This window comes from Homo sapiens, chromosome 4 (genome assembly GCF_000001405.40).
Source record: "Homo sapiens chromosome 4, GRCh38.p14 Primary Assembly".
Taxonomy (NCBI): Eukaryota; Metazoa; Chordata; class Mammalia; order Primates; family Hominidae; genus Homo; species Homo sapiens.
Window position 1 is genome coordinate 77575148 of NC_000004.12, and position 25361 is coordinate 77600508.

At 41.6% G+C, this 25361-nt stretch overlaps 1 protein-coding gene and 1 long non-coding RNA gene across 3 annotated transcripts in view; one reads left to right on the top strand and one right to left on the bottom strand.

Annotated features, from left to right (window-relative positions):
• CXCL13 (C-X-C motif chemokine ligand 13) overlaps positions 1-25361 on the top strand; it is a 100082-nt gene that overhangs the window by 63395 nt on the left and 11326 nt on the right. The window lies entirely within an intron of this gene.
• LOC105377296 (uncharacterized) lies at positions 5739-18458 on the bottom strand. Of its 2 annotated transcripts, XR_007058151.1 has the most exons (9): positions 18250-18458; positions 15392-15460; positions 13920-14032; positions 13261-13374; positions 12554-12976; positions 11445-11578; positions 9800-10040; positions 8355-8486; positions 5739-6895 (listed from the first exon to the last, which is right to left on the bottom strand). It is a non-coding gene; the product is annotated as an uncharacterized LOC105377296 (long non-coding RNA). The 2 variants fall into 2 exon arrangements; XR_938912.3 differs by lacking the exon at positions 9800-10040 and having other exon boundaries at positions 12554-13374.

Consider the following 25361-nt stretch of genomic DNA (forward strand, 5'->3'; position numbering starts at 1 on the left):
CACTAATCAGCTCTTAAGCAAAATTTGTAAAGGGTTATAAAATGTTTTTGCTTTTTTAAAATTTCTGAGTCATCATTTTGGCAAAGTAAATAATTTAAGGAAATCCGGAATTCTATCTAATAACATCAAGTGTTTTAAACCTCCAACTTTTTTATTTTTTTATTATAATACTTTAAGTTCTAGGTTACATGTACACAACATGCAGGTTTGCTACATAGGTATCTATCCCATGTTGATTTGCTGCACCCATCAACTCATCATTTACATTAGGTAGTTCTCCTAACGCTATCCCTCCCCCAGCCCCCTACCCCTCAACAGGCCCTGATGTGTGATGTTCCCCTCCCTGTGTCCATGTGTTCTCATTGTTCAACTCCCAGTTATGAGTGAGAACATGTGGTGTTTGGTTTTCTGTCCATGTGATATTTTGCTGAGAATGATGGTTTCCTGCTTCATCCATGTCCCTGCAAAGGACATGAATGCATCTTTTTTTATGGCTGCATAGTATTCCATGTAAACCTCCAACATTTAACAGGCTTCCCAGAATCAAACTTCAGTTTCAAAATTAGCTTTACTGACACCTAGCTTTTTAATGCTACAGAGGGCCCCTAGAGCATTCAGAAGAGAGGTAAACAGGATTACCTGGCATGTTTAGGTACATGGGATTGCCAAAATGATGTTCAATTTTCTTTAGGTTATATTTTAGTGAAAAATATTAACATATATTCCAAAATTGTATGGGGTTTCTAAAATTCTAATGTCTGAGTATATGCTATTGATCACAATTAAGGTTGTTATGTTAAGTTATTGTAAACCACAGAGATAACCAAATTTCTTTGTCAATTATGTTACTGGCTGTAACTACCCTGGACATTTTGCTACTCACAGAAAATTGTACTGTTTTGATCCTCTGCAAAAGATGGTTTATAATCAGCTACAGAACTTTGACAGGTACTCTCAAATGCAGGTTTCTGATAATTTTGGAGATTATGACGTTGGAATAAAGGAAAAATGTACAGGACTCATGAAGAGCTGAAATGTTTACAAATATCAAGCAAAACTAGAGTTAACTGGATGGACTGAACCAATAGAAAACTGAAGTAATGTTTTTTGCTTTTGCTTGGAACATTGCTGATCCTTGCTTTGTTCTTCAGAGTCAAGGAAACTTATTTTGAGCTATTTATGGCCTTTAATAATTGAGTAAGTTATACTCCTGTGACCAAAATTTGGGGCATATTTGTCTCTCTCTGCCTGGCTTCTCCAGAATTTGGAAACTACTTGCAAGTATTCTTAACTTATGGCAATATAATTGTTTGCATCAGTGCAACAAGAATCCACTTTCTTGCAAAGCTGATAAAAGCCCCTTGGGAAAATTGGCCTCATACCTTGTTTACACCATCCTTGTCCAGGGTTCCTGACCTGTGGTAAGTGAAAAATGTCACTTTCTGACAGGTCCAGGAGCTCCAGGTTTATCTTGGGACCTTAAGAGGAGAGGATTACCCAGCTCATAGGTATTTGATGGCAAAAACCCATGGATGGGCTCAGCTTTAAAAAGTCCTATCTGAGATTCCTTGTGAAACAGAGTTCCATCAAAGTCAATCTAAAAGGCTTATGTAAAAATAATTATTCTTGCTGCACTGTACACAAATAATCAGGCCAAGTATAAGACTTATAAGCCTAAAGTCTATTTTGCAAACAACTCCGTCCTATCATGATTTGTTTTTAGCAGAAATGAGGACTGGAGAGAGAGAAATTATGTTTCCAAACTTATCATACATTTGTCATTAAATTCCAGACTCATTAGTTGTTTTAAAGTTTTTGCCTACATCTTAGACTAACCCTGCTTATTCCCGTGAACAATCCAGTGACCTCTGACTGCAGCTCAGAAGGAACAAAAGCATAGATAGCTTTTATGGGTAATGTAAAAATCTGGATCAATATTCTAATTCTGAGCAATTATCCTGCAAATCTTGCCAGGTGATGGGAAAAAATAGGATGACCATCACCTGGAGGTTTTCTTTTTGGGAGGTAAGAGCAAGGAAGCTAACCAAAGCCAAGCATCATGCACCCAAATCTTAGCAAGCCTCCTTAACCATAGCCACCAGTTATCTGGGTGTGTCACAGGTTGTCCTTTAACCTGCCTTGTTGGAGGAGAACTCAATTCCATAGCTTCACCTTAGCATTTGGATTATAATAAGGAGTTCATCCAACCCCCACCAAGACACATTTTTGGTCCCAAACTCAATTCTAAGCTTTGAGTTGAAGCCCTAAGAAAGAAAACTAGATCTGAGGGGTCCGGAGGCAGACAATAATGGAAGTTAAAAGGCACAGTGCAGGTGAGTGTGACTAATTCCTGCCAATTAAGCCAAGCTTCCCATTTCATGGATAAAGGTCATGCTAGTATCCATGGCATAAATGAGGTCTAGGAAATGCAAATACTATTGACAGCAGTGGAGGTAGGACGTACATGGGTCAGAGTGGATATTCCCACCACCTAGGCCTTTCCATTAATATGAGTGAAAGCCACTTTGATGCCCATGAGTAGCAAGCACCCTGTAATGGTCACTGGGACTCAGGGATATAAGAACAGAAGAAAGAAAGAGGAATATCTCACTTTCTCTCCCTCATGTACCTCGGGTATTTGCTAGGAAGAGAAGGGAACCAGGGAGACCTGCTCCCTTCTTTCTAGATGAGTAGCTATTCACCTTCAGACTTTACCCCTTTCGGATGCATCCTGAACCCCTGGGACTCCTTTGAAAAAACCTCCTTTTTTCCTTCTTCCTCCTCTGTCCTCACTTCACTGATAGGTAATCATGTCTCCATACTATGCGACACTCCCCTCAGATGCATCCTCCAAACTGGGAAAACTCAATTTCCCAAACCTTAAACTGGTTGGCTTAGGATTGGGCCTGGGGAATGGAACCCAGAAGACTGACATCCTGGCAAAAGGGTAAAAGTCCTTTTTTACCAGTCAGGATTTTGGCCTCCCTCTCCCTGTGCAAACTGGTAAAAGGCCTCAGGATTCTTGAGCTGACTTTATCCACCCCCCTTGTTTTATTTTGATATATGTTTCCTAATAACCTGGTTTGTCTATTCTCACCTTTAGACTATCAAACTCCAAACAGTCATGCAACTGGAGCCACAGATGATGGCCCTGTTTGCCAGGGACCCTTAGATAGCCCTCTGAGGGAGCTCTGACTTCTGCCTTCCCAAAACAGCGCCCCCTGTCAGCAGGAAGCAGTTAAGATCAGCCTTCATTCTTATCCTTATCTTTGTTCTAATAGCAGTTAAGTGTACTTCTTTAGGCAGGGAATGATAGATGCAGGAGGCAGATAAGGGGAAGGGTCCCTGGAGAATCTCTGAGCCACCTGTGCACTGGGAGAATGGGGTGGAGCCACGAGAATTTCATGCCTTCTGTAGGGGGAAAGAGTCTGACCTCTTCAGGTCATGTGTGGTGGCCTGGAATCAATCTGTGAGGTGGGGGCCTGTTAGCAGGACACCCTCTCACTGTACTGAGAGTTTTTCTTTTTTCTTTTTCTCTCCTAATAAGTTCAACCCTACCCACCCTTCAATGTGTCCATGTGCCTAATCTTTCCTGGTTGTGTGACAAGAACCCAGTTTTAGCTGAACTAAGGAGCAAAAATTCTGCAACAGCATTCTTATTCTCTGGTCTCTGCAGCATAATCACACCCCCAAATTTTACCTGGTATAGAATCATGTAGAATAAAGCTGATGGTTTCCAACCTCTCCTGCAACTGAATATGGCTTGATAACTACATCTGGCCAGTAAGATGTAAGCAGAAGTGTCGCATAGCAGTTTCTGAGACCGAAGGTGCATTTTGAACTTCCTTCATCATCTTTTCTTTGATCCTGCCCCAGCAAATGAGAACTTGAGGCTGGAACTCCAGCCACTGCAAGGGCTACACTCTGAGGATGGCAGAGCAGTGAGGCCATAGGGCCTTGAGTGCCTGGATTGTGGAGAAGAGCTGCCATCAGCTGTGGATGGTCTCCAAACTGACATTTGTTGGGAAATGCCCCACTGTCTCACTGAAGGCACCCACATTTTGGCCCTCAGCTACTCATCCAATTCTAACTAATGTCAATTTATACAAACAAAATGCTTGCTTTCCCCCCAACCCCCAGAGGCTCTTAAGGAGTCAATCTCTGGGTGGAATTTTGGAAAGCTGAATAAGGACCATTTTCCTGATGAGGAAGTGTTGCTGCTGTTGCTCACCCCACTAAGGATGCAGGCCGTTTGCCTCCCAAAGGTTGTCCTTTAATTCAATTACAGCCTCAACACTTTGTGAAGTGACCCTCTCCAGACTGAATTATATTCTAATTAGAAAGTTAAGGTTTTCTCAATGTATTATGCTATTGGAGTCCCCAGAAGTCTAGTAATCCCTATTAGCTATGTGTCTGACTCATACTGCATATTTTACAGACACTCCTCTACTCTGTGGTTTTACTAAAAATTCCAAAGTTGTGTCTCCCTGGCATGCTGTTAAGGACCTTTTATTTTTTTTAATTCTGATGAGTGCCAAGCCCTAGAAATTAGACCTGCTACCCCTTTAAAAATGATGTACTCAGCTACCTGAAAATGCTCTGCTTCTTTGCAGAGAAGGTTTTAGATCAATCTCTTTAGTACAAGCAAATAACCCCAAATGTGTTAGCGCTAAGCACTCAGGGAGCCTTAGATTATTCTGCTTTTTTGCCTGTTATGAGCAATGCTGGTGACTAGAACCAACGACTTACTCAAGGGTAACATCCTGAAAAATAGCTATGCCAATCCAGGGTGATATTTATCATTCCTAACCACAGGCCAGGCATAGACACAGAGAGTCAGATCAGACCTTGGCTGTGTAAACCACTGATATAGCCAAACTGTACAAACCAGCTGACTATCAGCCAGGTGCAGGTTGATTATTAAAACTAAGGGCTCTTGACTTGGAATGGCAAGAAAGTGGGAAGGGGATGAATGGTGAGAAATTATTTAATGGGTACAATTACATTATTTGAGTGATAGATACACTAAAAGCCCTGACTTGACTGCCATGCAATCTATGCATGTAACAAAATTTCACTTTTAAACCTACAATTTTATACAAATAAATTTTAAAATAAAGAATATAGAATATATATTTTTTAAAAAGACAAGTTTTCTTTCTTTTTTTTTTTTTTTTTTTTTTTTTTTTTTTTTTTTTGAGATGGAGTCTCTCTCTTTCACCAGGCTGGAGTGCAGTGGTGCAATCTTGGCTCACTGCAACCTCTGCCTCCCGGGTTCAAGCAATTCTTCTGCCTCAGCCTCCCAAGTAGCTGGGACTACAGGCACCCACCACCACGCACAGCTAATTTTTGTATTTTTAGTAGAGACGGGGTTTCACCATGTTAGCCTGGATGGTTTCCATCTCTTGACCTCATGATCCGCCTCCATCAGCCCCTCAAAGTGCTGGGATTACAGGTGTGAGCCACCATGCCCAGCCGGGCTCTTATAAAGCCTTCAGGATTTATTTCTGGCTTTTCCTTTCCTTTATTTCTGGAGGATGGTTTTTAGCCTAGACACCCTCTCCTCCCCTCCCCTCCCCTCCCCCTCTCCTCCCCTGTCTTCCCCTCCCCTCCTCTCCCTCCTTCCCCTCTCCTGCCCTCCTCTCCCCTTCTCCTTCCCTCCCCTCTCCCTCTCTTCTCCTCCCCTCCTCCTTTCCCCTCTCCCTTTTCCTCTCCTCTTCTCCTGTGATGAGACCCCCTGGCCTTCCCTTTCACTGAGATTAAAATCCCTCCAAATTTTTCACATTCTCACTTCTTTACTTGAAAACAAAAACAAAAAAAAACCTATCCCCTAAGTGAAATATGCCAGTCACAGAAGACTACATTTTACACAATTTCATTCAAATAAAATACAGAATAAGCAAATGTATAGAGAACGTAGGTTAGTGGTTGCTTGGGGTTGGGGGAGTGAGGAAATAGGGGAGTGATAGCTAAAGAACCCCCAGGTTTCTTTTTGAGGTGATGAAAATTTTTTAAATGCTCTGTGGTGATGGTTACACATATCTGGAAATTTCTAAAAGCAGTTGAATTGTACACTTTAAATGGGTGAATTGTATTTGTAAATTATATATCAATAAAACTGTTAAATGCCATTCAAGCAAGTATGATCTAGAGAAATATGTGCTAAAATACAAGTTACCAAGTGGTTGCCAATTGACTGAATATTGGCTATTTTGTTGGATTAACGTTGTTTAAAACAGTTGTCAAAGTTTAAAAATAAAGAAATCTCCCACAAAAATCCAGCTTTTTGCCATCAGAATCTCTGGTATCAATGGCTCTATATTCCTGCATGGGGAGAAGTGCCTGGCTCAAGGGATCTTGGGATCCCTTCAAATGAGACCTGAGTTCTTCCAGGAACCACCTCTTGCTAAGATTTGACTTAATTATTATACTATTACTCCCCATAAGAGTTAGCATCCTCCAAACTAGATCCTTTTTAATTCAACAAATACGTATTGAGTATGTATTAGGTGCCATGTACCTTCTCTCTTTCCTCCTATCTGAGGACAAAAACCTCCCAAACCTCTACAATCTTTTCCCACTATCCTCTCCCCCATTAGCCTATAGACCTTTTCTGGTCTTTCTTATCATAAAAATTGTCAGCCAATTAAACAATCTTCTGTTGAATCCGCTGCTTTCTGAAGTCAGCTGTCTCATCTCTTGCATTCATTTCAAGCATAATCTATGTTCACTGGCATTTCTTTGCCTCCTACTCGTTGAACTGGTTGCAATTTTGGTTTCTATTACTCTACTGAAACTCTTCTATTAAAGTTCACTAAAGGAGAGTAGTGAGTCATCAAATCCAGTGCCCTTTTCCTCAGTTCTCACTTTCCTCAATGCTTTGCCTTTTTTCGGCCTGGAAAACATAGAAAAAAATGGAAAGAAAAAAAACATCATTCTATTCTCCTAATATAAAAATTTAAAAAGTCGGTGGAAAGTGGATTTTCTCTTGTTTTTCCCAGACAGAGCTCTTCTGATCTTTTGTAGATCTCCCTCAAGGATGAATACCCCCTCCCTCTATACATTGGAGCTGACCCACTCATTCAATAAAGCTGGGCCCTGTGGACAAACAAAGCCTCTGTCCTCATGGAGTCTATAGTCTGGTGGCATATTGGATGAATATATAATTACTAACTGGGCAGCACTCCAAGAGAGACAGTATGATTCTTAAGAGACCATGCAATAACAAAGGAAGGTGACCTAGATCGGGTAGGCAGTGGGATCAGGGGAGACATTCCTGGGGAATTTATGTTTGTCCAGTTCATTTCTACTCATCCTTTGCTTTTCTTCTCATAGAAAGTGAGGAGAGAGAGAGCAAGAGCAAGGGCAAGAGAGTAAATTCCAGGCAGAAAAATAAAACCAGCGTGGGGGAAGCTTGACGTAGGAACTAAGAGAATACAGAAGGGGAGAGTGGTGAAAGATGAGTCTAGATAAATCAGACGGGATCTTGCAGGTCATGGTAAGAGGTTTGTTATCCTAAAGCCAATAGTAAGACATGGAAAGTTAAAAGCAAGGGAGATAACATGATTACTTCAACATATTTTTTAAAAATGCTTCTGCTGCAATATGAAGAATTGGTGCAGGGGGCCAGGGAAGAGACAGGGATTCTAATTAGTAAGTTATTGACAGAGGGTAGGTAAGAGTTGGTGGTTGTTACCAGATTCCAACATATGTAGACAATGAAATCAACAGAAGGAATGTGGACTTTTGGAACACCAACCAAACTCAGAAAATTTCAAGGCTTTCCTCCATTCCCTCCAAATTCAAGAAGAAGGTACTCATAACTAGGTCATGGCTGAAGATGCCATTATAATAGTCATGCTGTTACTGGGGTTGAAGCTTTTAATGTAAGCAACAAAGCCTTGAAATGCTTCCTTCTAGACAAACTGAATAATCTAACTGTGACATGTGCCCTCCTCAGCTCTTCCTTAGGTCAGAGAGCCAAGGAAGAACCACAGTTAGATTAAGGTGGCCATTGGGAAAGCTTCTACTTTAATCCCTGGGCTAGAAATTGCTCTTAGGGCTTATTTTTTGTCCATCTGGACCACTTGAATAAATTTAGGCCCAACCTCTTTCCATGGGAATGAAACAGGGATCAATATAGCCAAGGTATGCAGCTTGGTAGGGATGCAAAATCCCTGAGTGATGCCTTCCATCCTTCATCTCCCAACACAGTTCTCTTCTTGCTCCCTTACTCCTGCCACTCTCATGTTTTGAAAGCCAGACTCAAGCATGACCACTGTGTAAGCCACTGCCTCCAATAGAGAAGGAAAGAAAGGAGAGTAAGGGTTGGAGAACAATTTTCCTGAACATACTCTTCAACCATTTCAGAATGTATCACTCCTTCCTCTTCACTTCCTTCTGCACGTCAATGTGGGCCTTCTTGTGCAGTGCCTTTTGTGCACCTCAGGGTACTGAGTTCTCCTTTCCCTTGATCCCAGAGGCAGCTGCAATAAGAATACAAATGGCTATGGGGCTTTGTTGTCACTTCACCAATGAAACAGCACACAAATTCTTATTTGCATTGACCGGGTCCTCTGACTGGCAGAGAAAGCTCTAGGTGCTTATCTCCATCAAGGTCCTTTCTAGGCCGTTATAAGTGGCACCTGTTAGCAATGAAGGATAACCATCGATCTATAAGGTACTCTTCATGGGCTAGGTGAGTTTGTTATTATTTGCTTTGTTTTCTTTGTTTGTTTTGTTGTTTGTTGCTGTTTGGGATTTCAGTGAGCCCATGCAGGGAACTACATGGGACACTCTTTCCCTCTAAATCCCACTTACTTCCCTTTAAAACTAAGAAAGTGGCAGACAGGCAAGGTAAGACCCAGTGGAAATGGGCTAAGGATGCCACTGAGATTGTTCTCAAAAATGAAGGGGCAACAGGAGTCTATGGTGGAGGTCCATTCCATGCCATTGATTTAGGACATTGCATTCAAGTGTAGGGCCAAAGCACAGACCAATAACATGATTCCATGGCCTAGATAGTCTTTAAATATCATTCCTCAAAGACTATGGTGGCCACAATAGATGGCTATTCAAGATTTGTATCCCAACCACTGATGAGCACGCACCTTCCCAACTCCTCTCACATCACAGTTCTGTTCTTATTGCCTTGGTCTATTCACCATTCCCCCAACATGCCCTAAGTCCATCAGCATGCCTTGTCTTCATTAGACAGTTGATGGGACTCATGTGGGTTGAGAACAGGGAAGAAGATCATTCAGGTAAAATATTTCATTGATGTTGTTCTAATATGCAAAAAATACAAAAAGTAACACTCTTTCCTCAGCTGCTACCAGAAATGAAAATAATCTCAACATTTGACAGAAAGTAAAATTAGATTGTTTCAAAGTCTTCTAAAAATCTGAGTTCTCCTTAGAAGAGACATTTTTAACAGTTTGGAGACACTGGATAGAAGCCATGGCTGAATTTGAGTTTCTAGGGCACAGGAAATGCTGAGGAGTGAGCTGAGTTGGGAGAAGGAGCATGATGATCAGCCCAGAAGATCCAGTGCCTTGACTGTTTGGGAAAGCTGGGGTCAGGAAGAAATTGCCTGGAAAAAAGCTGGAAAGTCCAGTCAAGGGCTTCTGCCCCTCAGGCGAGTGCTGGGAGAAAAGTTGGGAATGCCAATCTGCTTTTTCTCCTCTAGGTTTTTTTCACTAATGGCAAAAGGAAGGAGAAATACTAGGCATCACAATCCAAGAATATAAGATTCAATTACCCCAACCCTAAGGCCACTTTCATGACAAATATGACTTACACTTGTCTAGAGCCCAATATATGCTCTAAAGATTTTTTCTTCTTTAAAGACTTCAAATGAAGTGTGCTCATGGCTGGCTGAGCACATCATGTTGCCATGAGCTCATGACTACTTGCAAGCTTTCCTGAAGTAGAGCTCCAAATCACACACGTCTGGCCACCATCTTACAGCATGACTGCATCCTGGAATCCCATCAGGCCACTGGAAACAGGCTTTATCAAAGCTGTTTTCTGAAACCTGGCTTTAAAAATTGGGAGAAAGGCTTCTTTATTCAATAAAAATCTTGATCTTAGCATTCTGGTTATTTAAAACCTCTCTTCAGGTATGGATGCACAGGAGCAGGGGGACTTGGTTAATGTGAATCAGGAATTTTAATTTAATGAAAAATTATTGCAAACGATGTTTATTTAAATCATGATTAAATCTCAAGGTCTGCAGAGCAGGTTGCGGCTGATGTCATTGGCTGCCATTTACTGTCCAGAAAGCTGCACTACTGATTCCTAAACGTCCTCAGCCACATCGTGTGAGTCTTTCTCATAACATGCACAAAAACGAGAACTAGCAGTCTGGGTAACAAAGCCTTTGACCTGCTGATGGGTGAAAGCTGCCGTTAGCTCTGTGCTTGCTTCAGAGCTGCCACTCCTTTCCTTTCCTACACCAGTCTCAGAGAGACGCTGTGTCACCCAGTGGACACTAAAGTGATGGCTTTTTAAACCTAATCAATGACTAATGATAGGTCACCATAGTCTCTTGAAGAATATTTTCTTAGAACTAGACTTTTGTGGTAAAACACCTGGTTATCTATGCTTTGGGTACTTCAAAATATTTGAGAAGCTATAATAGGCCCCAAAGCAGCTGAGTGATCATCTTTCTGCTTCCATAGGGCACGCGGCAGGCCTCATCATGAGGGATGAAATCTACACTTGCTGGTTCTCCTGTGGACTTGGAATTTACCATCACAAAGATAATTCAGACCTAGCACTTCCCAGAGGTTGAGCCCCAGTACATTGATTGAGGAACTGTCAAAACAGGCTTGCAAAAATATAGTATATTTTGAGTGTTTACATTTAATAAATTAACACTTGTGAAACACTATAAACAATGCAACATAATTGTGTGATGACTTGTAAAAATTAATTCAGGCTGTGCAGTTTTATAATGGGGTAATTGTATAGTTGCATGAGAAAAAAGTCCTTTTCACATTTATCCTGAATCTCAGTGACCATATGCATAACCTCGTTTGAAGTTAAGGTGAAAGTCTAAATTTGACATATTTTGTGAATAAGAGGCCTGGACCAATGCCATCCTAGATAAGCTACTTGTTCTCCCTGTTCTCAAAGGGACACAATGAAATCACATGTAAAAAATATTTTTGAGTAACAAGATAATTGAATTTGGTGAGAGAGTGCTGTTCTTAAAATCGGTATGTTGGCAGGATGGTTCTTTCCATCTTTGCTGAAGTTTGCTATATCTCCGGTCCTAACGTTTTTGAGCAAAGTTTACTGCATATCTCTTGCCAGGTCAGCTGAATATGAACTTAAAGGGACCTAACAAAACAGGCAGTATGCATCGATGATTTAGAATTCCACTGTGCCCACGAGGACAAGTAAGAGCAAGCGCCTTGGGCAAAGGACATGGGTATTACCTCCATAACATGCTGTGCTAGGCTGCATATTCAGGACAGGATCTCTGACAGTGGAGAAATAACGACTTTCTGATGGACTGCTAGGGTGCCAGCATGGATTTTCCTGGCTTCAGTGGAATAACTCATTTTTCCATCTGTAAATAGAGTACTGAGACATTATCTTCATATATGCTTGATGTTAGTCAGGGGCACTTCGGGGTACAATTTTGAAGCTCTAGGGAAATTTTATAGCAAAGGTTAAAGTCCAGAGAGGAAAAGAGTCTAGATAGCAATTGAAAATTGGGCACAAATGAAGTATAGTTTGACCCCCACATCTCCTGCCTACAAACTGCAGACCCAGCTGCAGTAGGTGGTAGTGAAATAAGGGAAGTTCTAGGGGGGACTCCGTCCTCTTCAGCAAGTGACAGATGGTGTGAAACCACACGGTAGCTTGGCAGTATGGGGCGGCTGCTGCTTAGTCACTCCTAACTCAGGAACCTAGTATTGAAACTTGAACAGCCTTCCCTGTCTGGCTATAATGCAGCCCAGACATCCCTTGTCAACAAGTTAGTCAACAGTGCTCTGAACAATATCCGGTAAGTCTGATGTCTTACTTGCCGAACCAGTCAAAACAAGAAAAGTGGGCTCTGTTGGAACATTCCCTTTGGTTAACTGAAGATCTCTAGTTTCATTTCTCCCCACCACCATCCCCTTTGTTCATTCACTTGTGCATTCAGTCAGCAGAGGAGCCAGGGGGATATGACGAACTTTCACTGGTTATATACTATGTGCTGGTTACAGTTTAAGGAATACGAAGCTGTAAGGTTTGCTCTCTTTCTGCAGGAAGCTCACAGTCCAGCTAAGGAGACACGTGCAAAAATAAACAATGGTGATCCTTAGGGGTAGATACAATACTGGAGGTGGTACTTGGTACAATGGTGGCTCATAGGAGGGAGAGACAGAATTGCTTAATTGGATCCTTCACAAAAACTGATATTCATCATGATTCAACTTCCACTGTATGCCAGGTACAGTACCAAATATTTTACCTGTTTTATCTCATTTAATTCTCCATTGACTACCATTTCAAAGATTATTAAAACAAAGCTCCAGGAAAACAAGTAACATACCCAAGGCCATGAAACTAGTAAGAGGAAGAGCCAGGATTCAAGTCGAAGTCAGTCTGTCTTTTCAGTTCTCTGATGCTCCTCACCGAGTAATCCGTTGCAAGGATAACGAGCGTGAAACTGTCTGGTACGTTACCCTGCGAAGCAGGGTCATATAAGGGAATGGCGGCCATGGGGGCTGGCTTGAGCCAGAAACAACTCCTGCTCCTGGCTGCAGAGGGAACTGGATGGGGAGGCAGCCCTCACAAGTGACCAGCACTTGTCACTACCCTGTCCTTGCCTGCTTCTTTCAAGGGATGCAGGTTCCCACCTACTCAGCCTCATCCACACTCTTGAAGGGTGCTGATGTAGGGCACCAGTATCCATGGCCAAGGGGATTTTGATCTGGCTTCCTTTGCATATCTTGAATTTTTTTCTTTTCTGACCCTACAAAGGATTAAAAAAGGAAATGCCTCTTTCATTAAATATTATGACACCTACCTGAATTTTCCTGGAGGGCCATCCCCCCGTTCTCACCATTTAGTCTTCTTAGAAAAAGTTCTAGTGAACAATCAAATGTGATTGAGAATTTGGGTACATACTTTCTACCATTTCTTAACCCCATTACTGCCCCTGAGGCATAAGATAAACTATGACTAGAAAGAGTGGCCACGGTTGGGGTAGGCGGGGAAGTTGATTGGTCCTGACCCCCAGGGATTCAGGTGTGACACCTGTCCACCTTTGAGGATCACTATTCTGGCAGTTCAGTGTCATTGCTGCCTTCATATCTGTGTCAGCTTAGTTGTTCCTCTTTGTAGCACATCACTGACAATGCTTGGAGCCTGCTAAGAGAGCACAGCAGAAGAATTATTTTTAAATATGTAATTTTTTCTTATTTGTCCTTGGCATGTGTATTTGTCAACAGTGGAGCTTCTCTCCACAACTACCTACCTAGCTAATATTCTGTCTTTTGGATACTCAGTTCTCTCTAGCCTGAGACATGAATCTGGCTCTATCTTCATTCTCTTGATCCATCTCACAGATCCTCTTTCTCTGGTTCTTTTCCTGGATTAATTTCTTGGGCTCTGACCACTTCCAACCCTCCCTTCTCAAGCATAGATAAACGAGAACAAAGCTGAACTCTCCCATAGCAATCACTGCTCACTACTATTAAAACCACTACATGTAGTAATGGAGGTGAATCAAACTCAGGAAGACTAGGATAGAAAATTTCCTTTTATGACTACCAGAAATGAAAATTACCCCCATGGTTGAAGCAGTTTCCTCTTAGCCACTTCTATTTTCACTCTGTCTAGATTTCTATTTTAGGCCGATGTGGTTGGAAAGGCTTATAGAACATATACCTTTTGCAATTTATAGAAATGCTTACAAGAGCCTTCCTTTGATATTGGGCAGAGTTGAGGAAATTGTCCAGAGTTACAGTAGTCCACCCTTATCAACAGTTTCGCATTCCGCAGTTTGTTATCCACAGCCAATCACAGTCTGAAATTATTAAAAGGAAAATTACAGAAATAATTCATAAGTTTTAAATTGTGCACTGTTCTAAGTTGTGTGGTAAAATCTCATGCCATCCTGCTTCATCCCATCTGGGACACTAATCATCCCTTTGTCCAGCACATCCACACCATCTATGTATCCAGCCCTTTGTCACTTAGTAGCCTTCTTGGTTATTAGAGCTACTGTCTCGGTATCACAGTGCTTGTGTTCAAGTCACCCTTACTTTACTTAAAAATGGCCATAAAGCTCAAGAGTAGTGATGCTGGCATATTGTTATAATTGTTCTGTTTTGTTACTATTAATCTCTTACCGTGCCTAATTTATACATTAAACTTTATTGTAGGCAGGTATGTATGTATCAGAAAAAAAAAACCTAGTACATATAGGGTTCTGTATTATCCCCAGTTTTAGACATCCATTAGGAGTCTTGGAACATACACCCCACGAATAAGGTGGGGGGACTACTATCTACCAAAGTTCTACTTTCTGACCTCAGGGCTGAACACCAAGTGCTTGACACAGAGTTGGCATTTGTTAAGTGTTTGAGAGATATTATATGCTTTTCTGGAGACATGGACATTGACAGATACTCATGTTTTCAACTGGCCCAAGCTGTCTAGTGCTTCTTTCGCATCAATTAGACAGAGGAAATTAGGAAGAGGTTCATTCCATTCAACAGACAACACACTGAAACACTGCCTGTGTTACCATCAGAATAGTAATTCCACTTTTCTCTCCTTTTTTAATTATCCCAAACACCTACATATACATTCCCCATATTCGCATCTCCCATATGCCGCAAGTACGTGGCCCAGGTAAATGCTCTATAAATATTGATGATTGAAGCCTATTGATCATTTTTATTAACATAGGATTACAGCCTCTTGGAATATGTAGAGGAGTTCCAAGGTAGTCAGAGACGTTTGTACTGCGTGGCTCCGGGAAAAGGTAAGATATATTTTTAATTCAGAAGAGGATAATATCCTAAATTTATATATAAATTGCTAACCACCTACCACACATGTCAGAAATGTCATTTTAGGGAATGTCTCTTCTGTCTTTAGAAACCAGTTTCCATAGGAGGAAAAAGCAGCCTAAGGTAAAAGTCTTTCTCTTCCCAGCAGCGTAATAAGTGAGCCAAGGTCAAAAGTCACCATCCTACTTCAAAGAAGCTGACAGCTGTGGGGGATTCACAGAGGCAGTTTACAGGAAGTTTGATATTCCAGTTCTTTCAGCTAATGCAAGTATTATTTCTTTTTTAAAATAAATGATTTTCAACAGAATTGCATGTGGCATAATTCAGTAAAGTGAAACACAGTATCAAAATATGAATCATAAACTTACCTGGAAAAACGCTCAAGAACAGGTTTTCCATGGACATAAGTCACATGGCCATTCCTTCTTTTTCTGCTCCTGTATAGAAAACCGAATAGTCAACACAATGTCCATTGGCATGACAGTAGCCCATGAATTATTCGCTCTCCTGTGGAGATGTCACACACTCATTCTGTGAGCAGGATTACAATAGTCTTATAAATTCAAATGGGTTTGGCACATGTGTAGTTCTTTGCTCCAGGCCCCAGTACAGGGCCAGTATTTTTATTTTGTGACCAGAATGGGCATGTTAAATGCTATTTTATGCCATGCAAAGTTTATTAATAAGAAATGTTACCTGTCTCATACTATTTATTTGTTTATTTATTGAGATGGAGTCTCACTCTGTCACCCAGTCTGGAATGCAGTAGTGTTACCTTGGCTCACTGCAAGGTCTGCCTCCTGGGTTCAAGTGATTCTTGTGCCTCAGCCTCCTAAGTAGCTGGGATTACAGGCATGCACTCCACACCCAGATAATTTTTGTATTTTTAGTAGAGACAGGGTTTTGCCACGTTGGCTAGGCTGGTCTCAAACTCTAACCTCAAGTGATCTACCCGCCTGGGCGTACCATTTATTACATATACTGTACTATTATATTATACTATCATTATTGTTATACTATTATTATTTAGATATATATACATTCCTACTATATACACATACTAATTATGGCTGGTGTCACCATATTAAAAATGTTTCTCAGCCGGGCGCAGTGGCTCACGCCTGTAATCCCAGCACCTTGGGAGGCCAAGTGGGTGGATCACAAGGTTAGGAGATTGAGACCATCCTGGCTAACAAGGTGAAACCCCGTTTCTACTAAAAAATACAAAAAATTAGCCAGGCGTGGTGGCAGGCACCAGTAGTCCCAGCTACTCGGGAGGCTGAGGCAGGAGAATGGCCTGAACTCGGGAGGCGGAGCTTGCAGTGAGCCAAGATCACGCCACTGCACTCCAGTCTGGATGACAGAGCAAGACTCCATCTCAAAAAAAAAAAAAAAAAAAAAAAGTTTCTCAAATTTTAGCAACTATCATAATCACCTGGGAAGTGAATTAAACAGACACAGCTTCTCTAGTCCAATCCCCAGAAATTTTGATTCTGTAATTTGGACTCTGGAATCCACATGTGTACAAGTGCCCCAAATGACCCTGATCAGCCAACAGGACCCAGGCCACACTTGGCACAGCCCTGCCCCAGCTTCATATCCACGCCATTCACCACTGTGGCCCTGCTGCCAGCAAGTGCCTGTGCACAGTCACTGTGCAACTAACATCCACTGAATGACAGACTTTGGCATCAGGACATCTAGATTTGAGAACTTATTCTTCTTTAACTTCTTTAATTGATCACTTAAACTCTGAGCTCCAAATGTTCTTATCTGTAAAAAGGGAATAATGTCTGTCTACAGAGTTCTAGGTTGTCAGTGACAAAGAAGCAACACCAAAAACATTTCTGGCCACCTTGATCAGAAAAGAAATAATTGGATCATTATCACATGATCCAGCAATCCCACTTCTGGATATTTATCCAAAGGATTTGAAGTCAGTATGTCAAAGAGATATCTGCACCCCCATGTTTATTGTAGTTTTATTCACAATGGCCAAGATATGGAAATAATCTAAGTGTACATCAGCAGATAAATGAATAAAGAATATGTGGTGCTTATACACAATAGAGTACTATTCAGCCTTAAAAAGAAGAAAATCCTATGATTTGCAACAACATGGATACACTTAGTTATGCTAAGTGAAATAAGCCAGGCATAGAAAGACAAATACATGTTCTCACTTACATGTGGAATCTAAGAAAACATTGAAATCACAGAAGTAGAGAGTGGAATGGTGGTTGTCAGGGGTTGGGGGAAGGGGAATGGGGAGATATTGGTGAAAGGGTACAAAGTTTCAGTTTAACAGGAGGACTAAATGGTAAATATTTGACATGATGGATATATTAACTAGCTTGATACAATTATTCCACTATATATATCATAATATCATTGTGTGCCCCATAATTCTATACAATTATAGTTTGTCAATATATAATGAAATTAATTAAATAAATAATTGAAAGGACATTGGACAGCTCATGAAATCCCTGGCAAGGCTGAAGGACTGAGGAAACCAGGGGGAGCTGGGCAGCAAGGAACCATGCCAAGATCATGCCACAGGGGCAATCCAGTGAAGACATAGACTTTCATCACTCAAGATTCAGTTTTGAGTGAGAACACGAAGCTGGCCATCCTGGGTCTTGTGTACTGGCTGCCAGGGGCCTTTTCAGATTTCATAGTGGAAATGGGGCCTCATTGTCCCTCAAGATTTACACAAGATTTCTCCAAAACAGGAAGTTTTGAATGCTGGGCAGCTAAATGTGCATTATGAATTAACTCCAACTTAAGTTGGAAGAAATTCAGAGAGGTTAATAACGTATAAACAAGTGGCAGAGCTGTGGTTTTAACTCATATCTCTTTCCTCTCTTTGTACTTAGAACAGAGCCCTCTTGAAGGTCTGTTCTTTTGGCTTTCCTTTGAATTTCAGTGGTCTCAGGCAATTTTTTTCCCTCATCGATTCTTCCCACACCAACAAGGTAAGAAATGCTTGACCTTACAGAGGCGAGCAGAAAGTAGAAACTGAAAAGCACACTCTGTTTCCCTGATTATGCCTATGATTAATCACTTTCTGACAAAACGAAACTGTTTCTAACCTCAAATTAAACATTTTAAAAGCCAACAAGGCTTGAAAGAACAGAATCACTTCCAATTTATGGTAAGAAGGAGCAGTAATAATCATTGCATCACATCATCTCCCATATGTGCCCTGTATTAGGAATCATACCTAAGTTCGAGAGTCGTCACTGGTGCCATCACGATGAATGAGTGGACATCCCCGTGAGACTTGGCCTTCCAAAGCAAAGCTGGTCAACTCATGTGGCTTTGAGGAAGTCGACTCCAGAATAAAAGTTAATGGAAATGCATAAGCGGAGCAATGATGAGATAGAAAACTACCTTAAATTTGAAAATCATTTCACATTTTATTAAGCACTTTCGCATACCTTAACTTCTTGTAATATCCCTGCATATCCCTTTTTATAGATGAGAACATTTGGAACTCAAAATTTAAATGGTCAGTTTAAGAAGAATGAGCTGTTAAATCTAGGTCTCTTGATTCTGGTGAAAATCTTGGCATGCTTGAAGACAAGGGTGCTCTTGCAGAGAAGAACATATGTCACAGTGGTATCACCAGTTGGGCAAAAAGCTCTGTCATCAACCAGTCGAGGAGAGGTGAGGACGAGTGCTACCCCAGAGGTGGTAGCTTGAAAGTGAAAAGACAGGGGTATTTCTAACAGCTATTAAGGACAGAACACAGAGATTGGGCTGAGTTAGAGGATAAACTGGGGCAGTGCCTCTCTCTGAGCAGCAGCAAAAGGTCAGCATTGCTGCTGGCTGATGTGGAATTTATAATGAAAGCCATGCCGTAGTAGGCAAGGATGTTTTGCTTTAAAAAGTGACATTTGCCTCTTGGTAATACATGCTGCAGGTGTAAGTGTTTGGGGGCTCCACATTCCAGTGTGATGCAAAAAGCACTGGACTTTTAATCAAGGGAGCTGGCTTGAGTCATGCATGTCTATCTCTGGAGGCTGCCAGAGTCAGTCATGCAGAGGACGAGAGGAGTGAGCTCTTAGCCAACTTGCTTCAAGTCCATAGAGGTCCAGTTTCTCCTTCTGCCCTGAAAACCTGGGTCCACAGAGCCATCTTAAGTACCTCAAGCCCAGGGCAAAGGTCCTGGTAGCACCACTTATCTGGAGTACAGATCACTGGAGCCATTTGTCTCCTCTACAAACAGGGACAACAATTAAAATAATGAGACAATAGGCTGGTCAGGAAGTCCCCCAATACTTGCATCAAAATTACCCATTTTAGCAGCTTGTTATTAGAGCTATTGGGCATCAACATAGCTCAAAAGCTTCCCTCTGGCCATAATAAAACATTTCATGTCACAAATCCCAGGCACAGTGGCCTGGGCTCTGTTGACAGGCAGCTGGGCAGGTCCAGGGGCATACTGATGCCAGTGAGGGCCATGGGGCTCATCTTTCCCAGGTCCACATTCAACAACCTCATTTTGGTGGTTTGAAATTGGCCATAATCCACATGGACACTGGGAGGGGAACAACACACACTGTTCAGGCCTGTCGGGGTAGGAGGCTGGGGAAGGGAGAGCACCAGGATAAATAGCTAATGCATGTGAGGCTTAATACCTAGGTGATGGGTTGATAGGGGCAGCAAACCACCACAGCACCTGTTTACCTATGTAACAAACTTGCACGTCCTGCACATGTATCCCAGAACTTAAAATAAAATTTTAAAAAATAATAAAAATTAGAAAATAAAATACAGAAAAATAGAGGGAAAAAAATTGGCCACGGTAAGAGTATGTACATCACAGAAATAGACAAATGCCATGAGTCAGAACTTTATATTTTCCAGAAAGCTGGTTGTAAAGCATTTACCAGCAGCACATCATTTTTGGTTTTAGGTGATTTTTTTTTTTTTTTTTTACCAGTGACACAAAGTCCCTTTGCATATCAGGGAGGCAGCATGGCCCCCTAGTTTCCATTCACTTAATGTACTACGGGCAGCCGCTGTTTTTGAGTTATCTTCTAAGACCTCTTATGCTATAATCAAGAAAACATGTTGTCTTAGAAAATTTCCACCACTCTGAGACACCTTGAGTAAAAGTATCCCTAGTTTGTACTTTTAAACTCAGGGCCAGGATGTATTGAGTTTAGAAACCCAAGTACACACACTAAGGATGCTAAAATTTCGGTACCACAGACCACATCTTTTTTGTACATTGCTTATTGCCTGCAAGATAGTTTGCTCATCTGAAGGCAAGAACAGAGCAATGGCCATGATTTAGTTCACTTTTGGACCCTGAGTAAAATTGAACCATGCGGGAAGATCAAATAAGCCTTTCTTTGTTTGTGACACATAGGAGAGTATGGCATAAAAGTGTGAAAGCCACAGACTTTGAATATAAATGCAGTCATGTAGGTGTTAATACTCCACGTATATAACTTTGTCCTACTTGCCTATAGGGCCTCTGTCCTGCACCCCCAAAGAGCACCCTAATAATGAAACAATACTGTTGGCGATTTTTTGCTCTAGCCTTCTTATCAAAAGCATCACTGCTGTCCTGTGGAGGCTTCCTGTGAGGATGCTGTTCTGTCACCCTGAGCCTTCACAGTCTTGGAGCTATACTGTTGTCTGCAGAGCAGTTAGAGGGAAGGACTCTCTCCCCAGTTTTCTGTCCCACTTCCTAAGACAATGTCCCCTGGGCTCCAAACAAGCATGCTTGCATCCAGAGATGTGATCACATAGAGGCTCCTCAATTTGGCACTCAAACACCTCTCCCATGGGTCCAAACAGTCTTTCAGCTTGGGTACAAATGGGGAATTAACCACTCCCTCTGTTGACCTAATCATACTCAACAAATTGTTACTTTTTGCAAACAAAACAAAGTCCCTTTTCATATTACTGAGGCAGATAGAAGGCAGTATAACAAGAAATACAATGGAATTTTTCCTGTTGTCCCGGAAGGGAGCTAAGATCTAAAGCTGACAAGCAAAAACACTAACAGTGTGTGTCCATTAAGATGATTTTCTAAGTAACCAAAATTGCTAGGTATAGGTTTTGTCTTGAGTAAGACCATCTCTGTATCACCTCCCACTTGTTTGTATGGCTATTATCAAAAAGACAAGAGGTAACTGTTGGCAAGAGTGTAGCGAAAAGGGAACACGTACACTGTTGGTGGGAGTGTAAATTAGTACAGTCATTTTGGAAAATAGTATGGAGGTTACTCCAAAATTAAAAATAGAACTATCATACGCTCCAGCAATCCCTCTTCTGTGTATACACCCAAACAAAATGAAATCAATACCTTGGGCTGGGCACAGTGGCTCATGCCTGTAATCCCAGCACTTTGGGAGACTGAGGTGGGCGAATCACCTGAGGTCAGGAGTTAGAGACCAGCCTGGCCAACATGGTGAAACCCCATCTCTACTAAAAATACAAAAATTAGCTGGGTATGGTGGCGGGTGCCTCTAGTCCCAGCTACTGGGGAGGTTGAGGCAGGAGAATCATTGGAACCCGGGAGGCAGAGGTTGCAGTGAGCTGAGACCGCGCCATTGCACTCTAGCCTGGGCAACAAGAGTGAGACTCTGTCTCAAAAAAAAAAAAAAAAAAGAAAAGAAAAAGAAGAAAAGAAAGAAGTCAATACCCTGAAGAGATATCTGCATCCACACGTTCATTGCAGCATTACTCACGATAGCCAAGACGTGGGAATGACCTAAGTGTCTATTGATGGAAGAACGGGTAAAGAAAAATGTGATCTATACATGCGGTGGAGTATTATTCAGCCTTTAAAAAGATGAAAATGCTGCCATTTGCAAGAACACGAATGAACCTGGAGGACATTACACTAAGTAGTATAAGCCAGACACATAAAGAAGCATATTGCATAATCTCACTTATATGTGAAATCCAAAACAGTCAAACATATAGAAGCAGAGTAGTGGTTATCAAGGGTGAGGAGGTGGGGGAAATAGAGAAACATTTAAAAAATGATAGATTACTTAAAAACATTTTTAATTGATTCAGAGGGAATATTTTACTGATTATTAGATTGAAGCTCTGTAGACTTCCCAGCTAATTGTGTAAATCATATTTTTTTTAATGTATTGATACTTAGGTTTTCCCCTGGGGGCAAAAGGAATGCATTCATTTTGAATAGTATATTTTTTAATCTTTTTGCATAAACTAAAGCAATATGTCATTTTAAAAAAGATTTCCATTCTTTTGGCAAGGAGCTTCTCCATGTGTTGGTTTTGTTGAACCTGGATGTAACATCTGGAATTGATGCAGCCACTTTGTGCCATGAGTGAATCTAGCCTGAGGACAATTTCCTAAGGCAGGAAGGGGCCGCCTTTTACATTATCCCTGTTTTAAGAGCTAAAGTAAAAAAGTTCTTTCCCAGACCCCAATTCCTTAGAAAAGTGAAATTCTCATGGTTGGCTTAAGAAAATAAAGATTTCCCCACCAAGAGTCTTGGAATATGGAAGAAGTTGAATATTCAAATGAATAGGGTCTATTAGAATGGTGGAAGTGCACAAATGGCTCTTGGGTGGGCAACAGGATCTGCTCTGTGGCCACATTCTATGTCCAAAGCACCAGCAGCACCAAGGCTGACCACCCACAGGGACTACCAAGAGGCACCTGCCCACCACCAGCACCTAAGTCAATGAAATGAAAAGACTAGGAGAGGTGAGAGAGCTTTGGGAGACTGCCAGGTGTATAAGAGAATCCCTGCCCTCTCATTTCTCTTCGGAACTTTGGCAAGCCACTAAAGCAGCAGAGTGCTTGATGTCATTGGAGCTTGGAGAAGGGGAGACAGGAAGACAAGAAGCTGAGAAAAGGGAACCATTGAGTCAGCCTGTTTTTCTACTGTCTGGCAAAGCAAGTCTTCTGTGGGTCATGTGGACACTGCGGGAGATGACCAGGCTTGCCTGTCTTGACAGTATACTGCCTCCAAAGGACTGGCATGGAGCAAGGGGATCCCAGCAACAAGGGGCTGTGGAATATGCTCCTGTGGTAGCAGCTGAAGATTTGCGGAAGCCGTTGGTTCAGAATCGAGTCTGCCATATTAGTTTGCACTGTATTAGGGAGACTCTGCAGAGAGATTCAGCCACATCCATAGAGTTAACAGAGAGCAGTGGGGAGTAACAGGGCTGGATAGTGCCTGTCGTCTTGCCATGAAAGATAACCATTCCATCCCCAATCCCTTCGTCCCTTTCAGAGCCTGGAAGAGGGAAGGGGAAGTATAGAACAACCAGACTATGCTTTTCTCACCCACTCCAAGCCTCTATAGTCAAAGTTTTCATCTATGTTAGCTGGAAGAGAGAAGAGCTTTGAATCAAACATTGAAATTTATTCAACAAAGAAATAAGACTATTTGAATAACAAAAAGTGACAAAAAGATGTTATGGAATCTGGAAGATGCCTCATGAGAGATGCTACACCACCAGAAAGGGAGAGGCAATATAGTAGAGTGGCAGGTTATTGCGGAAAACTTTTCTTCGTTATACACTAACACATTGAGACTCCATAGTGAACACATTCTACAGAAGGAAGGTGAGGTGTCGCCCAACTCTAAGCTTTGAAAATATTCATGTCCCATTTTTGGCCTAGCCCCAACACAATGATTTTTTTTTTTCTTTGAGATGGAGTCTCACCCAGGCTGGAGTACAATGGCATGATCTCGGCTCCCTGCAACCTCTGCCTCCCGAGTTCAAGTGATTTTTCCTGCCTTAGCCTCCATAGTAACTGGGATTACAGGCACCTGCCACTATGCCCGACTAATTTTTGTATTTTTAGTAGAGCCAGGGTTTCACCATATTGGCCAGGCTGGTCTTGAACTCCTGACCTCAGGTGATCCACCTGCCTCAGCCTCCCAAAATGCAGAGATTACAGGCATGAGCCACCGCACCCGGCCAGCCCCAACACTATTACTGAAGGTAAATAAAAATGGAGTCTTAGGAGTAGAGCTAGAGGAAAAAAAACATTAACAATATCTAGGTACTGCCAATGAACCTTCCTTGGTATCCGTGAGGATTGGTTGCAAGACTCCCGTGTATACCAGAATCTATAGATGCTCAAGTCTCTGATATAAAATGGGGTAGTATTTGCATATAACCTGTGCACATCCTCCTGTATACTTTAAATCATCTCTAGATTACTTATAATACCTAATACAATGTAAACACTATGTAAATAGTTATATTGTTTAGGGAATAATGACAAGAAAAAAATCTGTACATGTTCAGAACAGACATGGTCCTTTTTAAAATATTTTTGATTCACAGTTGGTTGGATCCACAGATGTGAAACCCTATGGATAAGGAAGGCCGACTGTATTCATTTGGAACGTAAATTGGAGTACTTGGAGAAGATATTCAACCTGTGAACTTCAGGCCCCTAGTGGTGGTCAAAGTGATTGCAAAGAGTCCTCAACCCCATCTGTGAGAACTGGGGTGGACAGCAAAGGGATGAGGCAGCAGAGGAAGTTGGAGAGAGCACCAGGATCCACTAAGGACTTCTCCACACAGGGGATAGTGGGAAGCCTTTGCAGCACAGCAAAGACACAAACAGCTTTGTGTTTTGAGAAGATGGTTCTGGCTGCAGTGTGGAAAGTGGATTGGGATTGGGGATGGGAAAAGAGCAGTTAGCAAGCTATTGAAGTAGTTGGACAATGGTGGCTGGGAATAGTTTCTAGCAGTGAAACGGGAGGAAAGTGGAGAAAGTCAGGCTATTTTAAGATATACAAGTGCCAGCTCTTAGAGACCAAATAGATATGGGGATTAAAGGCGATGAAGGAGTTCAAGATAACTTCCCTGGTTTTTAAGCAAATTTTTGAGCAACTGGGTGAATGATGATACCATTTACTAAGACTTGGAATATTGGAGATAGAGCAGGTTTTGAGGACACTAAGTTCAGTTTGGGGATAATATGATTAGTGAGAAGTATCTAGGAGGCCTCTATGAAGAAATGACCAGTAATTAGGCTATTGAATAGATACCAATGTGAGAGGACTTACATGTAAACTTGAAGGACTGGGAAGAGACACACACCCCTAGGGAGAGAGTACACAGTGAGAGGAGCGGAATAGCTAGTTAGATGAAGAAGAGAAAAGAGCAAAGCAATATGACACTGAGAAGATTACTTGGGGGCACCTGAGGTTTGCAGATTAGCTGATATCAAGGGAACAAAGTGATATGCCAAAAACTTTCAAAATTGCATAAGGGTTCTCTTGCTGGAAAATGAAACTATTGACTTTTATTTATAATGTCCAGGTCTTCATTGATGGTTATAACATAAATATATGCCGAATGAGAA